Source organism: Homo sapiens, chromosome 16 (genome assembly GCF_000001405.40).
Source record: "Homo sapiens chromosome 16, GRCh38.p14 Primary Assembly".
Taxonomy (NCBI): domain Eukaryota; kingdom Metazoa; phylum Chordata; class Mammalia; order Primates; family Hominidae; genus Homo; species Homo sapiens.
This window is the reverse complement of record NC_000016.10, coordinates 5,670,933-5,688,674: the sequence shown is the minus strand read 5'-3', so window position 1 is coordinate 5,688,674 and position 17,742 is coordinate 5,670,933. Positions and strand designations below refer to the sequence as shown.

The 17,742-nt window shown below is 42.8% G+C and overlaps 1 protein-coding gene across 4 annotated transcripts in view, besides 1 other annotated feature; it reads right to left on the bottom strand.

The window, feature by feature from the left end:
- RBFOX1 (RNA binding fox-1 homolog 1) overlaps nucleotides 1–17,742 on the bottom strand; it is a 2,473,620-nt gene that overhangs the window by 2,024,666 nt on the left and 431,212 nt on the right. The gene's annotated exons all lie outside the window — the stretch shown is intronic.
- Nucleotides 10,000–10,200: a silencer, noted in NCBI's record as "peak2482 fragment used in MPRA reporter construct". NCBI's record gives its function as "represses an SCP1 promoter by STARR-seq MPRAs in K562 erythroleukemia cells {active_cell/tissue: K562}" and the evidence as "EXISTENCE:reporter gene assay evidence [ECO:0000049][PMID:32103011]".

Here is a 17,742-nt window from a genome sequence, read left to right as displayed (position 1 = left end):
CTCTGGGTAGGTAATGAATTTCTCTTTAATGTAACCCAGTTCAGGCCCTCAACCATCCAGTTCAGGCCATCACCCATCCAGTTCATGTTGGGACCAGACCAACTGCAGTATCTCAGAGCTGAGGAGGAAAGGGAACATCACTGGACATCTGGGAGGTACAAGAACCACCTCTCTGTATTCTTACAAATAGGAAATGCATCGTTCAAGAGGCTAAAATGCACTCAGGAATTCTTGCAGGCAACATGAGGGTAACTAGCTTTGTACAGACATAAATTATCCCTAGCTAAGGAAAATTAGTAGCAGTAGCCTGTAAGTCAAAATGGCTCTCACTGATATAAAATTCTTGTTGCAATGCAAAAAATGCTTTTTTCTTAAGGATCATTTCTGACTAACAAAATAAATTGTCATGCCAAACACATAAAAAGATTGCAAAGATGCACCTCTATGAAATTCTACTTAGCAGCAAAGTGACTCAGGTGTAATCTAAATTTAGCCTTCCAAGCTCCTTTTCTGTCATACCTAAACACCATTTTTTCAGCTTCTCCTTAGAACTACAAGAGTATAATAAATTGAAATACTTTTCACAATGTGTTAAGATTAGGTCAGCTGGGGAGCTTGACCTGGTTGGATCAAATTTTGTATTGATTTCTGAAAGTATATTTTTTACCAAAACTTGGGCCCTTGCAGAGAACGAGAAGAAAAATTACACAACTGTGAGTTAAGGAGAAAAACAAACCCAGTATACATTCTATTTCCTTAAAGGTGTAGAGCAGAGTCTGCTTTGTTTATGAAGCTGGTACACAGGGGATGCCAACCACAAATGTAACTTTTTAAAATATAAAACGTCCACCTAACATTGAGACCATACATACCCGGTACTTCAGACTCCGACAGCAGAGCCATTAGTGGAGATTTGAAAGGCTAACTCTTCCAGTTTTCCTGAGAATGAAGGGGTTCCCAGGTGTGGGATTTCCAGTGCTAAAGCTGAGACAGTATCAGGCAGACTGGAATGGTCGGTCACCCTAGGAGCATACTGGTTTCATGGTGACGCTACAATGACTTTCTCTAAAATGGCTTTCAGAGAGGCCAAAGACTTAGTCTGAAACTTTAAGATACTATTTACATGGGTTCCACTCACCTAATCATGTATTGATATCAAAGCATTCGAACATAGCTTCAGAATGACTCTTTATCTTTGCTGTCTAATTTAATACTCCCAACAGTTGTGAGATGTACATATCAGTGTCTTATTTTACAGAGGAGGAAGCTAAAAAGTTTAAGGACGGGCCCAAAGTTGGCTACCCACTAATTGGTGGGGAGGGAGTGGTAAGCAGGCGACTCTACACACCTTTGTCTCTCTCGGTCCACACACTACTGCACTAAACCAGGACATCATGAAGGCACCACAGTTTCTAGTCTTGGGTTTTCCTCCTACTGTTCCACTCCTATTAAGCACACATCACATTCAACCTTAATTGTCTCCCCCTATTCCACTGTACTGGGAGAAGTCTGAGGGTTTATTAGTCCATTTTGCATTGCTATAAAAGAGTAGACAGGGTAATTTATAAGGAAAAGAGGCTTATTTGGCTCATATTAACTCCTTAATTTGATTCTTAGCCAATATGAGTGAGTAATCCTTCTTGCAATAGATCCCAACGCAGCATGGGTATCCGTACCCAACCCAAAATGCAATGACTTTGATATCCATCTTATTTCTGAATTTTCTACAAAGATGAAGTATTCGAAGCTTAAACTGAAGTAAATCCAGGCTCATTAAATCCTGGACTCCTCCTTTTTCAACAGTAGTTATTCTCAGCCCCAGATGAAAGTCAACAATTTATGACTTCTGTCAGAACTAGAAGCAGTTTTGCTGACTAATTGATAGCCAAATGGAATTTCTACTGGAAAAAATACTTTCATTTGTTATTTAAACATCTATTCTATATTTCGGCAATTTCCACTATGAGAGTTAGGCATTTTTTTCCCATATTACCCTCAATACTAAGTACTGAGGGTCAAATCAATATATAGAGAGAAATCAATTCATATGGCCTCTAGGGGAGGCAGTAGTCAAACACCAGACCAAATATCTTAGTGAATAATCAGAAGTCAAGAAAGAAGACCCACGATTAAGTAGAAATCCCTCAGTGGCCACCTGAATAGACAAAGCCAGGATCTCTCAGTGGAGGCACAGGAAACAGCTACCTTCACTGCAGGCTTTGGGTTTGACTCTGACTATATTCTACCTCCTATTCCCAGGAAGTCTTTCTTCTATTCTCAAAAAATAATGGAGAAAATACTAATATTCAAACCACCCAAAACTACAAATTATATTTTGTCACAATGATTTCTAGACCTTAAACAAACAGAACATCACGGATATTACTAAACATCCTCCATAACCCCACAGTGCCCAGTTCCATTTACCCCAACCTGTTCCCCTTCCCCAGGCAGCTGCCAAACTCTGTGTGTATCTTCCTCTTGATACATTTCTACATTCCATGTTGCTTGGTACATTGAGTAAAAATTCACACAAGTAACATCCAACGTAGATACCAGTCTCCATCTTCTTTTCATCACTCAATATCGTTTCTGAGCCTGTCCATATTAATGCAGGGAACCCACATGCAGTATCAAATTAAAAAGAGACCTACTTGTATTCCTTCTGACTGATGCACAGTAGTCTATCACGAAATACACCACCTTTGCTTCATTCATGTCCCCATTAAGTGGCATCTAGGTTATTTACAAATGTCCAGCATGACAAACATTGCTGCAATGAACATCTCTTTCTGCATATGTAAAAGATTTTGTCCAAGTCACATAATTAAAGGTGAAATTGCTATGTACTAGGAGCATACATCTTCAGATCTGTTAGGTTCTGTCTGCCAACTTGTTCTGCAAAGAGGGCATACCAACCTACAATCCTGTCAGCCCATGAAGGAGGCACCACCCTCTCCTCACCTCCTGAGATATCCTTTTTAGATATAGGATGAGATGGCCTCAGCTTGAGCCAACAGCTCACCTTTTCACACAAAAAAGAAATGGATTAACTTATATGAAAGAACCTACAAAGTTCAATTTAATTTTCTTTAATCAACAGTTGCATCATTTTAAAAGCTAATAATGCAACTGCATTCTCCAACCCTGTGATAACTTAATGAATGAGCCACTTGACCATCAGAGAAGAACACCTTGGGACAATATGTCAAAATCAAGTAAGGCACTCAAGCTCCTATTAGGCTGATGGATTTAAGGCAAAACCTTAGGCAATAATAATGTTGTTTGGAAGATGAATCTACTCATAAGAGCCCCTCCATGACAAATGACTTACTTGGAGGCTAACTATTTATGAGGTCCAGGTGGGAGAGGTATAAACTTAATTAAGTTTGAAAACATAACAGAACCAAAGGCAGTGCATCAATTTCTGGATGTCCTATCAAAAAAGCCAATAATATCCTTAATAGGTTGGTGATATCTCCTTCTTGGAGCTGTAATATATAGTTCTCCAACTTACACAGTTCCAGTTCCTGCTGATCTTGCTGAAGCCAGTAACACCCTTGCTTCTTTTCTCCTTTTTTCATGTCTGCTTATGAGACCAATTCATCTCAGCTGGGAAGAGAATCACAACCGCTTCTATCGCATGCACTTTACACCAGATCCTAACAAAACCAACCATCAGGCTGGATGCCCCAACTTCATTAGTGACTTTATCTATCTGTGCCTGGGAGATAATATAAACTGTGTCTCATACGCTGGAGAGCTCCCTGATGCCTGGAACTCAAGTGCAGCATTCTACAAAAATATTTTAAATACCCATTCACATCATAACGCAGGAAACCAAATACCCCCAAGCAACCCTAAAGTAGAGATACACAGCTCAGGACAGGGCTCCAGATATACCAGCCAAGCATTTATTTGGATGCACTTCATTACAGTAGGCGGTGATGTATTTGCAATATCGTTTGATAGCTTCAACGGCTCCCTGCTGAGGGAGAAGCTGATGAAAAGGCTGAATCATTCCAAACTTTGGGTCCCATTTAAAACGCATCAAGAAGTTACTTTATTAACCGTGGGGTCATTTTATAAACAAGTGTCCGTCCTTGGAAAGCTTGAGGGAACCAAGAGAAATGTAGGTGTTTGTGTGAGGCTAATCCTAGAAAACAGACACACACACAAACCTACACAAGGAACAGTCAGTGGCTCTACAGAGGAGAGCTGGTGCCACGTGGGAGTTGCAGAGCATTGTGGCGTCACTCATTTGTCCCAACTAGGTCATGTCTGGTGAAGCAGAGACATCCATCTCATGACCTTTGAATTCCACAGCTGTATTAGTCAGGGTTCTCTTACAGGGACAGAACTCATAGGATATAGATATATATCCTATTAGTTCAAATCTGTTAGATTCTGTCTGCCAACTTGTTCTGCAAAGAGAGCATACCAACCTACAATCCTGTCAGCCCTCGAAGAGGGCGCCATCCTCTCCCCACCTCCAGGGATATCCTTTTTAGATATAGGATGAGATGGCCTTAGCTTGAGCCAAGAGCTCACCTTTTCACACAAAAAAGAAATGGGTTACTTTATGTGAGAAAACCTATAAAGTTCAATTTAATTTTTTTAATCACCAGTTACATCTTTTTAAAAGCTAATAATGCATCTGCATTCTCCTACGCTGTGATAACTGAATGAATGAGCCACTTGACCATCAGAGAATACCTTGGGATAATATGTCAAAATCAAGTAAGGCACTCAAGCTCATATTGGGCTGACGGATTTAGGGGAAGACCTTAGGCAATTTTACATACATATAGGTATCTGTATGTAATACATAATTTACATATAATATACATTAAATTATATGTTGTATATAATATATAAAACATATAATATAAATAATACAGTATATATATTATATATTATATATACACACACATACACGTAAAGGGGACTTTATTAAGTATTAACTTACATGATCACAAGACCACAATAGGCCGTGTGTAAGCTGAGGAGCAAGGAGAGACAGTCCAAGTCCCAGAACTAAAGAACTTGGAGTCTGATGTTCAAGGGCAGGAGGCATCCAGCATGGGAGAAAGATGTGGGCTTGGAAGCTAGGCCCATCTCTCCTTTTCAGGTTTTTCTGCCTGCTTTATATGCACTGGAAGCTGATTAAACTGTACCCACCAGATTCAGGGTGGATCTGCGTTCCCAGCCCACTGACTCAAATGTTCATCTCTTTTGGCGACACCCACAGAGACACACCCAGGACTAATACTTTGTATGCCTCAATCCAATCAAGTTGACACTCAGTATTGACCATCACAACAGCCAATCAAAAGCAGTGGTTCTCACCTAAGGGAGGTTACAAATGCTCTGGGGTTAAACCTGGGCATTGGCAAGGAAGTCAGAATCTCTTGGGTAAGACCTGCACATTACTATTTTTCGAAGGCTTCCCAAGTGCCACAGCTTTGCATCTAAGGTTGAGAGACTTGGCCAAGGATCTGGCGCCCCCACCCCCCACCTCCACCTCCACCCCCAACACACACACAAATACAAGCCCTAGAGGGCAAGACCTTAGCAAAAACAAAGCATTGTCCAGTCTTTATCTCAGTAAATCCTTACTATAACCCTAAAAGGTGGACACTCTGATTCTCCCCATTCTGTAAGTGAATGAACAAAGGTTCAGAGAGGTTAAAGAATTGTCCTGAAGTATCAATTCAAGCAAGAGGCAGAGCCAGGACTCACACTAGACCCTGGGAGCTTTGGGGTCTGCACTTCCACAGCTGTTTCATGGCAGCCAGTCTTTAAAATGTGCAGTTCTCACTTTTAAAGAGAAAGTAGCAATACATTTCACATATCAGACTGCCAGTTCTGGTGAGGAAAATTCAAGGACCTCTCAAGCTCTTCCATGAATTCAATGTGTGGCTGCCAAGGATGAAGACACCTCTCTTTCAACATAGTGTTGTTAGACTCGGACAACCTTGGATAAAACCTGAGCTTTTCCTGTTCTCAGCTTTGAGACTTTGGGCCAATTGCTTATCTATTATGAAACTCAGTTGCATGATCTGTACAATGGGGATAATTCCTTCCTCCCAGGTTCACAAGGATTTAAAGTAATCACACTAATGAAATGTCCTGGCACAAACCAGGGATTAACAAATGGTCATCTCTTCCACCGAAAGTAATACATGGCTTAGAAACCTAGACGGACCGATTGTCAAATTGTATGATGCTTATCTCTAGCACCACCTGATAAATTGTAGAGTGACCCTCTTTTTCCAGGTGTCTTTCCATCGATTACCACATTTTAACCAGTTTATATTAAATACTAGGTTTCACAGCTGTGCAATTTTTAAAAAAGTTCTTCAGACCCACTCCCACCCCACCACAAAGGGGATTAATGGTGCTCCCACAATGGGAAGGCTTTTAATGGATGCAAATTTGCAAGGCATGATGCATTTATTAATCTCTCATTGGAGCAAACTGTAACAAAGCCAGCAGGAGCAATCATTAATTTACATTAATAGCTTTTGGTGTCATTTACCCCAGTGCCCGACATGAAACGGCAATCTGAAACCCAACTGTAATGCTGTCCTACATAAGTGAATGTATCACAGCCCCAGAGACCTAGGAGGTGCAGAGCATTCTAATATCAACCCCAGGCTCATATATATATTACGCATTTCAACAAGGGGGAGATGTGTTACTGTATCCCAATACTCCAAGAAAAATAGTCAGACTGCTTACAATGGTCTTCAAGATTCTACTCCTTCCAGATTCATCTCAGACCACTCATATTCACTCTTCTTCAGCCAGGTCAGTCCCTCTCTCTCCCTCCCCCACTCCCGTATATTAATATCTCAGACACTTTAGCTTAATCCACCTCAAGGCCTTTGCACATGTTGTTAAAAATGCCTGAAATATCCCCTTCTCGTTCTTTGCATTACGTCAATTTTATCCTACAGGTCTCAGATAAAATCTTACCGGCCGGGCACAGTGGCTCAAGCTTGTAATCCCAGCACCTTGGGAGGCTGAGGTGGGTGGATCACCTGAGGTCGGGAGTTCGAGTCCAGCCTGACCAACATGGAGAAAGTCCGTCTCTACTAAAAATGCAAAAAAAAATTAGCTGGGCATGGTTGCACGTGCCTGTAATCCCAGCTACTCCAGAGGCTGAGGCAGGAGAATCACTTGAACCGGGGATGGGGAGGTTGCAGTGAGCTGAGATCACACCATTGCACTCCAGGCTGGACAACAAGAGAGAAACTCCACCTCAAAAAAAAAAAAAAAAGAAAAAAGCTGGGCACGGTAGCTCATGCCTGTAATCCCAACACTTTGGGAGGCCGAGGCGGGTGGATCACAAGGTCAGGAGATCGAGACCATCCTGGCTAACATGGTGAAACCCCGTCTCTACCAAAAATACAAAAAAAAAAAAAAAAATTAGCCAGGCATGGTGGCAGGCACCTGTGATCCCAGCTACTCGGGAGGCTGAGGCATGAGAATGGCATGAACCCAGGAGGTGGAGCTTGCAGTGAGCCGAGATCGCACCACTGCACTCCAGACTGGGTGACAGAGCGAGACTCCATCTCAAAATATATATATATATATTACCTCATGGGGTGGTCTTTTCTGGCCATCTTATCTAAGAGATTCTCCCTAGAAACTCATCATTTTACCTTCTTTCTTTTATGGCACTTAAAACATCTCAAGTTGGTCTTTTTATAGTTGCTAATTTTATAGCTGCTGCACCCCTGCCCCCCAACCAAGCACACACACACACACACACAAATACAAGCTCTATAGGGCAAGGAACTTGCACGTCTTGTTCATTACTCTATGTCTAGCATTTAGAACTATGCCTGGGACATAGAGGTTCTCAGCAAGTATTTGTTGAGGATGAGAATGAATAGTAAACCATCTTATCATAGGCAGCTTCACCCGGAGTGTAAAGATGTTTTTAGTGCCTTTGCTGGCCCCTAAAGTTTGGCATTCTCCAAGGTTAAGACCTCAGACTACTTTTTCTTCCCTCTCAACTATTTCTCCTTCACTCCGCTGACTTTAACAGCCACTTCTACTTATGACTGCTAAATCCATGCCTCCAACAGGTCTGTCTACTGAAGTCTAGAGACTCCCATGTGACATGTACTCCAAGTCTATCTGCAAGGGAACCAGAAACCTAATAGCTTGACTCACTGGGAGTCTCAGTCTTTAAAGAGGAAGAGCAATTCCAGGTATACAGTGGAGTCCCTTACTCAGATATGTGCCTGCCTCAGCCCCCATGGATCCATATCCGTGAAAAGAGAGATCTGAAATTAAACAGGACATTAGGGTTCAATGGACTTGGCCGCAAAGTGAAGATTTTTTTCAGGTGAGACCTTCTTATTCCTCCATCAAGCAAAACAAACAAATCTCCGCCAGACTGAGCTCCCATTTTCATTAAGCCACACTGCACCCAAATCGTGAAAGGTTTCATGGTGTCCTGCAGCAATGCCCCTGCAAGCACAGCTCATGTGTTTTTGTACCTTTACCCCCCACACATATCTTCCTTCTCCTCTGCCAGTCTCATGATGTCCCTCTTCTGACGCCTTTGTTGATAAACTTCTGTCCATTAAATCAATCGAGCCCCAACTCTAACAGCCATTTCCATTTTTTATCTCTGATTCAACACACTCATAGGGAGATATTCCTTTGTTCCTCCTTTTCTTAAAACAATATATGTTTCCTAGGTGAAAGAGAGCAATGACAGGAAGCATGAATAGAACACAGACTAAACACTAGGCACCAGACTAAACATTTTGCTCACTATGAACTGTACTTTAATATAAGCCTCACTACAACTCCCTTAAGTTAATTATAAAGGAGACAGAAATTTGGAGAGAAGGAGCTTATGCAATGTCACCCAGAAAACGTGTGGTAGAGTCCAATTTCAAATCTGGATGGCTGTGTTGCCAAAGCCCATTATTTTAATCACCATACTAAAAAGTTCATTACCAGGTAATAATTGGGTAGAGGACTTCATGAAAGAGAATTGATGGTCAATCATTCTCAGCAAACTAACACAGGAACAGAAAACCAGACACTGCATGTTCTCACTCATAAGTGGGAGTTGAACAATGAGAACACATGGACACAGGGAGGGGAACGCCACACACCGGGACCTGTCGGGGGGTGGGGGACAAGGGGAGGGAGAGCCTCAGGACAAATACCTAATGCAGGCAGGGCTTAAAACCTAGATGATGGGTTGATAGGTGCAGCAAACCACCATGGCACATGTATACCTATATAACAAACCTGTACATTCTGTACTTGTATCCCAGAACTTAAATTGTTTTTTAAAAAAAAAAAAGAGAGAGAATTGGTGGTCAGTCATACAACTTCGGATGTAACAGCATGACTTTAGCATATTATTTAGTGCTCACCTTAAGAGAAGCATGAGGTTCAGATGAACAGAAAACTCCTGGTTGGATTAAATGAAGATGCGCCCTTGCAGAAAAGATCACAGTACTTTCAATAGCCTTGCCCTTTCCAGGGTACTCTGCCTGGTTTCTCTTTGCCAATTAGCTGAACAGCTATGTATTGCAACAAGGCATAAATGGAGTAATGAATTGAGATGCAGGTTTCATAAAAGTGATTAACTGCTAAATTCCAGTTCAGCTAACAGTTCAATTATCCCATTTTGCATCTTAGCCTTCCATCCAATTCTGCATACATGTAGCCCCAATCACTGAGGTACCTACATCCTCCGCATTACCATTAATTAAGCCATCGCTCTTCTTCCGTGAATCTGTCCATCCTTACCCATGAGCTGGGTCTACAAATAAGAATGAGAAGAGTGAGCATTGAGTAGCAAATTTAACGTGCTAGAACAGCGGGTTGACTCAAAGTGAATTTTAGCAGCCACCACTCTACACACAATGCCACCACCTTCATCTGGAAACACAAATGTCGACAAACTCCATGTACCATTTGTCCAAAGACAATGGGAAGTGAGAAACACTGGAGGAAGAGCAGAGACCTCAGCTGAGGTTCTCACTTGCCTACGCCGCATAATAGATTCCTGTGGGACGGGCTCAAGCACCCAGAGGAAGCAATGATTAACCACGTAACCATCCAGCACCATGGACAAGGCTCACTGAGCTTAGGAACCGGGTTCTAACTTGAAATACTCAAAAGATCATCATGAAGACCTTGCCCTACCCGCTTGCACATATGCCCTAAATCTATTTACTTTCTATATTGATTAGGGTTCTTGTTTAAGAACAATAGAAACTGGCAGGAATTTCTTTCAAAAGAAAAGGAGTTCTTGGGACGAATACTTGTTTGTTCAACAAATTGCAACAGAGGCTTAAGAACAAGACCAGCCGCTAAACCCAGATGACACCACAGAACAGTCTAATTCAGACTGCACTGCCCTCTTCAGAGGACACTGACTGGCTGGTGCTCCTTCAGAACAATTTCTAAACTCTCCCTGCATCTGTGGGCTGCTGGAACCAGAGCCAGTGTCCCAGAAGGAAGCATCAGGCTGCACCAAATTGCCCAGAAGAGAAGAAAGGAAAGCAGAGGTGAGGAGAGGAATGAGTATCTGGTATTTTTAATATTCCTGACATTCATCGACACCAACACAATAGTGAATCCCTAAATACACAAAAGGGTTCAGATGCTGAGCAGCTGAAATATGTACACACACAGAGCCCCACGGTGCTCCACCATGAGCATCTGACATAGAACACATTTCGGCTCATGGAATAAAAGCAAAGCTCTTTAACAATCTTGGTCCTGAAGACCTGCCTCCCTCACTTCATCTCTCTTTGCACCCCTCATACCCATAATCCATCTTCATAAGACTTTTACACGTTCCTCCAGAACACAGTGTTTGCTTCACCACCAAGCCTTTCCACATGCAATTTCCTCCATCTGGAACACTCTTCCCCTAGCTAACTGCTACTCACCTTCTGAATTCAGAGAAATGTGTTTTTCAGACTTGATAGAAGGACCCTATAACAAGCTCTACTAACACGACATGTTTATTCCATGAGCGCAGGGAATATGCCTGTGTCATTCTCTGCTGTATCCATAGAAGTTAATCTAGTGTCTCATTCATAAATGTTTAATATGGATTGGTCCGGTGAATTTCTTTCAAACTTGACTTCAAATCAAAGCAACATGAGGGAGGCAGGCGAGTCGTAGGCAGTCTATCCTTCACTCCTAATCACTCGTAAGCACATTTACCTACATGCCCATTTATCTACTGTAAACAGGGACCCATAGAAAGTGCATTCATTTTCCCCTAAGAATTCTTTGACTATCTCTTACTAGCCCTTACTACCCAAAACACAAAACTCAGTTTAACTAAAATGTGAATATGCAGGTGGATTTCACACTGGAAACTTGCCTTCTCATAGGAGGACATATTCTTTGCAGAACTACCTATTCTCTAGTGATACTCAACAGCCTCAAGAGAATTGGTATCTCTGGTCTTTTAGAAAGATAGAGCAAGAGAAGCTGTCATAGTAACCAACATCAGAGGCCTGGGTTCAACTTCTGGGTCTTCCCCTTCTGTCCGTTTGACCTTGCCCTCCATAATGACTGAGCAAGAACTTCCCACCAGCCTGGGAAGATGCAGAATTGGAGACCGGTTTTAGTTGATTTTCTAAAAGAAAAAGGAAAACTGAGATATTTACTTCACACCTGTTTGTGGACAGAGAGTCATACTTGCTACCTCAGGTTGGTTCATCAATGTACAAATATAAAAGTCAATCACCAACATTTATTGAATAGTACTATGTGCCCAGGCACTGTTCTGAGCACTTTTTTTTTTTGAGGTGGAGTCTTGCTCTGTTGCCCAGGCTGGAATACAGTGGTACAATCTCGGATCACTGCAACCTTTGTCTCCCAGGTTCAAGGGATTCTCGTGCTTTAGCTTCCTAAGTAGGTGGAATTGCAGGCATGTGCTGCCACAACTGGCTAGTTTTTTGTATTTTTAGTAGAGATGAGGTTTTGTCACATTGGCCAGGCTGGCCTCAGACTCCTGGCCTCCAGTGATCTTCCTGCTTCAGCCTCCCCAAGTGCTGGGATTACAGGTATGAGCCACCACACCCAGCATGTTCTGAGCACTTTCCAGGCACAATCTCATTCAATCCTCACAACAACTCATTGCTATCTGCATTTTGCACATGGAAAAACTGAATCTCAGAGAGGTTGAGTGACTTGCTCAAGGTCACACAGCTAGTGAGAGGGAGATGTGAGATTGAGTCTGCTCTCTTAACTTCCTAAATGATATGTAATATCACACACACACATATATGGGCAGCTACACAATAAATGTTTCATAAAAGTTACCTTAATAAGTGATAGATGCAAGTATAGATGAATGGATACACAAATGGGTGGGTAAAAAGGTGTGATGTTTTCCTTTATTTTTTTTTTTTATTTCACTTTAAGTTCTGGAATACCAGAACGTGCAGGTTTGTCGCATAGGTATACATGTGCCATGGTGGTTTGCTACACCTATCAACCCATCATCTAGGTTTTAAGCCCTGCTTGAATTAGGTATTTGTCCTAATGCTCTCCCTCCCCCTGCCCCTCAATGCCCCAGCAGGCCCTGGTGTGCGACGTTCCCTCCCGATCACCATGTCCATGTGTTCTCATTATTCAACTTCCACTTATGACTGAGAACATGCGATGCCTTCTTTTTTTAAATGATCCCTCTAATAACCTAATTATAGACAAAAGACTTAGCCCATTGAGTCTTCATAACCCAGAAAATTATGTTCCCCCAAATGAGAGCTCATTACCCCAAACCACATCCAGCAGGAGGAGCTCTGTGCCCCTCATCTTTATTTCAAAGCAATGTCTGCTGCAACTTCCAGGAGCTGCCAGAGGAGAATGGAGAGGAGCAGCATGTCTCCACATACCATCCACAAGGAGAGTGGATGACTAGAACAGATGCTATTAATCATCTATCCCTCCCTGACAGATGGGCTCCAGCACAGCCTTGCAAATCCATAGGCTGGGCCCAGCAGCCACACGGGCTGCACGATGACACGCGGAAGCCATCCAAGAAGGCTCAGTGTTGAGGCTCCGTTGCCATGTTTAAACATAAACAGCTCGTTTTCCCCATGCCTTGTTTTCTGTGTTTCCATTATCTGGCCAAGTTGGGTCCAATTGAGAAAGAGGCAGCTGTGTTTGGGGAGCAATTGTCTTCTTCCCACTGGGCACGTGAGCTGAGTTCTCTATTGTTCACATCTGTGGCCGCCTGGCTGAAAACCCAGGGATGCTTCTCTCTTTTCAAGCACCAATGTGCTTAGCCCAAAGTCTAGAAATGATCAGTAGTAAATGGTCTCTCCCAAAGAGGAGAGCTTCCTGGGCTGGTTCATCCCTTCTTCTGTTCCTTACAACCCAAAAATGTGTTTTCACTCTCTTTCTATGTGTGTGTGGGTGGGTGTGCGTGTGTGTGTGTGTGCGTGAGTACATGCATGTGCATGTGGATGTATATATACAGTGTATATTCATATCTATACACACACTTTTTTTGAGACAGGGTCTCTATCTTTTGCCCAGGCTGGAGAGTACTGGTGCAATCACAGCTCACTGCAGCCTTGACCTCTTGGGCTCAAGCAATCCTCCCACCTCAGGCTCCAAGTAGTTGGAACTACAGGCATACACCACCATGGCTGGCTAATTTTTTAAAATTTTTCGGAGAGACGCGGTTTTGCTGTGTTGTCCAGGCTGGTTTCAAACTCCTGGGATCGAGCAATCCTCCTGCCTCAGCCTTCCAAAGTGCTGGGATTACAGACATGAGCCACCCACCATATTCAGCCACAATGTGCTATTTTTACATAACGTACTACGTGCGCCAGACCAGCATTATATATCTGAATCTGTCCAACAGATTTTCACCATAGGGAAGGAAAAGTGGCTCATCTGAAGTTACAAATCTGTGAAAATCACCAAATAGAACTTGAATCAAAACCTTTCTCCAACGTCCATGCATTCGCCACGTATTAGGTTGGTGCAAAAATAATTAAAAGTAATGGCAAAACCCACAATAACTTTGGCACTAACCCAATACTATGTTCTATGAGATGCTTCCAATTCTAAACAAACAGAACCTGGGCTCTGCCAGGAAGCCTTCTGTCTACCTTTGCTCTGTAAGTTCCTTTGTCAAGACTTTCTGATATGTGAGAGAAGAGTCCCATAGATTCTGGAGTCAAACGTGAGACTGAGTCCTGGCCCTGTCACTATCAACCTGCGCCCGGGCATGTTACCCCTACCTCACTAAACTTCAGCTCCCCCACTTGCAAACAGACATGAATATTTTACCCATTGTAGAGGAAAGTGGAGATTACATAGGAAATAAAAGTCATATTCATCCTTCAAGTCTTTGTTACTCAGAAACAGCTTCTCTGAACCCTAAATCAGGTTAAATTCAATTGCTTTAAAAGATTTTCAGAATACCCTATGCTCCTTCCAGAATAACATTTGGTATACCTGTAATTTCTTCTTAATTACATGCCCCACTTCTAGACCCTAAGAACAATGAAGACAGGGCTTATATCTGCTGTGTCTTTTGCTGTAGAATCACCTCCTAGAACAATACTACATAGAGGATGGACAACCAAGAATGAATGATTCAATGGCAACATGGTATTTATAAAGCAACTGGCATAGTCCCTGTCACACACAGAAGCACTTGTTATCTTTCCTCTCCCCTGGATGCATCAAGACCCATGGGGCTTCCTCATTCCCCCTTTCGGTTTTGTAACCAGCCTTGATGCAGAAGAGAAAAGCTGAAGGCTGAAGCAGATGATGCAGGCAAAATGCTAAGCTGGGAAATGCTAATGAGTCTTAGACAACATCGGAAAGAGCCACAAGGCCTACAATGAGGCCAAGAATTACAGTGATGCACTGCCATGTGTATACGTATTTGTAAGGTAGAAGAGAAAAGGTGTGGATACAGACAGGAGGGATGCCACAATAAGTAGCTAGAGAAGGAGAGAAGAAATGCAAGTCAAAGATGGAAAAGAACTGCAATGTGGGCTTCCCCCAAAGATAGACATGAACTTCACTGAATGGAGATAGTTGCCCTCCATGGAGCCCCTTCCACTTGACGGAACAACCAGGTCTGGCCTCAGTGACACTGACGTCAACCTTTAGGTGCCAAGCGAGACCCTGCTGAGGCTTGAACATGGAAATGGACTGTGAGATGACCTGTGCTGAAAGCCAGAGAGAGGAAGGAAATCCACAGAAGTAGTTCTGGACAGAGCCTTCAGGATGGGTTCCCTCTGAGAGAAGATAGCTTCATGCACCTTCTTTACTGAGGTGTGACCTTGATATCAACCCTGTCGACCTTGGAACCTGCTTCCTGCCTGGCTCCTGGGTGCCAGGCACAGGCTTCCTTCTGACCCTGTAATGTGGGTTGCTTCTTGTTGACTGGCTCCGTCCTTGCCCCTTCTCTGTGACTTCTACTTGAATAATGAGCTCTAAATATATTTTCTTGTTCAAAACCATTTTTCTTTTCTAATGCTAAATTATAAGGCTTGTGTGTGTCAGCAGGAAAATGCGTGCCCTGCTTTTCCAAAGGATGCAGAGATGCCGCTAGACATACTTCCAAACCGCTGGAAGCGGGTGGAGGCGCTTCCACCATCTCACCCACCCCAGAGTGGAGGCTTCTCTGCAGCCAAGCACGTTTCTGAGCAATTACTGACCCAACCCCAAGCTCCCTAATTATTTCTGCAAAAGTTCAGGATGGAGAATGAACTACTATTAATTATTAAAAATGAAAACCCAGACACACACACACACACACACACACACACACACACACCTACGGTGAAGGATTTCTGATCATCCCTCTCTTATTTCTCTGGTCTAGGTAGGACCATCAGAAACCACTGAATTTAGCTGGGCTGCTTGTGAGCCACACAAATTACAGGCAAACCAACAACCGCTAAAGTTTTTTTCCTCTTGACATCATTATCTCCAGCTAATGGAGGTGGTGGTTATAAAAGAAAAAAAATCAGAGATGGATGAGTCTTCATCTCCCACTGCTCTGCCTTTTCCTGGAAAATACGACTTAACTCTTTGTGGGTTGTTTTGTTTTCTTCAAATGAAAATCTTACAGAGAACGTGGCGCACTTACTGTTTCCACAGTTGGGTCCTTGCTAGGGTCTGGAGGGGTGTGCTTGTCCTTAAAGAATGAGGTGCACCCAAAGCCAGCCTTCAAAGGTTCAGCATAGCAGAAATGAAGACTAGGATGTGCAAAGGCCCTGGAGCAGGAGGGCACTGAAGAGGTGCAGAAATGGTGGGAAGCACTAGAGACAGCACCAGGCATGAAGTCAAGAGCCCTCCTGACACATGGCATCAGAATAACCTGGGGCAGGTTTATTGATCTGTAATTCATTTTACTCATCAGAGAGGTAGGCATCTGCCCAGACAGTTCCAAAGGGCCACTATGAAGCTCACCTAAGAGAATATAATACATTAGGGTACTGAGGATGGAATCCTTCCATCCCTGCCATTCTACCTGATCCACTGCCTGCCCCCAGACTGAGAGAATGACTCTAAAACATACCAAGAGACATAAACCTCTAACCAGCAACCCAGGCAAGTCCAAGAAAGTTGCACCCCTTTTTTTCCAATTCTCAAAGATGCAAATCTCTCCACCCATTTAACTGGGTTACCTGAAGAACATAGGACAGGCTTTTATTCTTCATCACTTTGAGAGAAAACTGATTATAAGTGTGACTCTACCTGGAAAAAGCTATGGCTCTGATTTAAATCTAAATATTCTGCAAGGCTGATAGGTGGCATCCTTCAACCCCCAGCTCACACTGCAACTTGGATGGAGATATAATTTGAATAGTCATTTTAAATTATAAAAAGACAAGGGGCCTTATATTCACTGGATAGTCTCCTCTCTCTGGGCAGCTCTGAATTAGCAAAAGCATTAGCTCCTAAAATAACAGGGTGAGAGAGGCACCCCTTTCAGAAGGGTTTGCATTAGCACTTTGATCACTTGCCCATCAAACTGTGCATTTCTGTATAGGAAACGAAGAACAGCTTGTCTCTACAGTCTATTATAATTACCACTAAATGCTCCAGAAACTTGGCAGTTTTGAATTTCATAACACCCATGACTGACATTCCTAATTAATACTATTGTTTTTCTCCTCTGGCTGAATTTCCTGAATGCCAACATGCACCGCATACACTAAAAACAGACATTAAAGAAAATAACATCAGTGTTAATCTCCAGCACAAATATATCAAATGCCTCAGTGAAGTGTATAGAAAAGAACCGGATTCCTATAAATAATGGAGCATCCCTCTCTGATCATCTTTATCCTTCTACACTAATAAGATGATCATGTCTCTCCCCCTGCCTCCTTGCTCTTAGATTTCAGAACCGCATTTAGTGAAGTGCACTCCCAGCTCTTTTATTCTCTTGCTTTGCTTTTAAGTTGCAGATTGAAACTTTCAAAGAAAACCTCCTAGCTTAAGTTAGAAATAGCATCCACTGGGCACTCTATAAATAGGGAATCCACAGAAGAGAGCAAGATGGTCTAATTTGTGCTTTCTAATGGATGTTTCTCTGGTTTGTGTGAGGCTGAGAGCACCCAGCATTTGCTGATGTCCTCATTTACTCTGCTGGATGGCTTCACCAGGGATTTCAGTGAGGGGGGCTCTGAGTCTGAATTCTGTCCCTGCCACCTGCCAGCTGGGCCATTTCCTTGTGCTCTCTGAGCC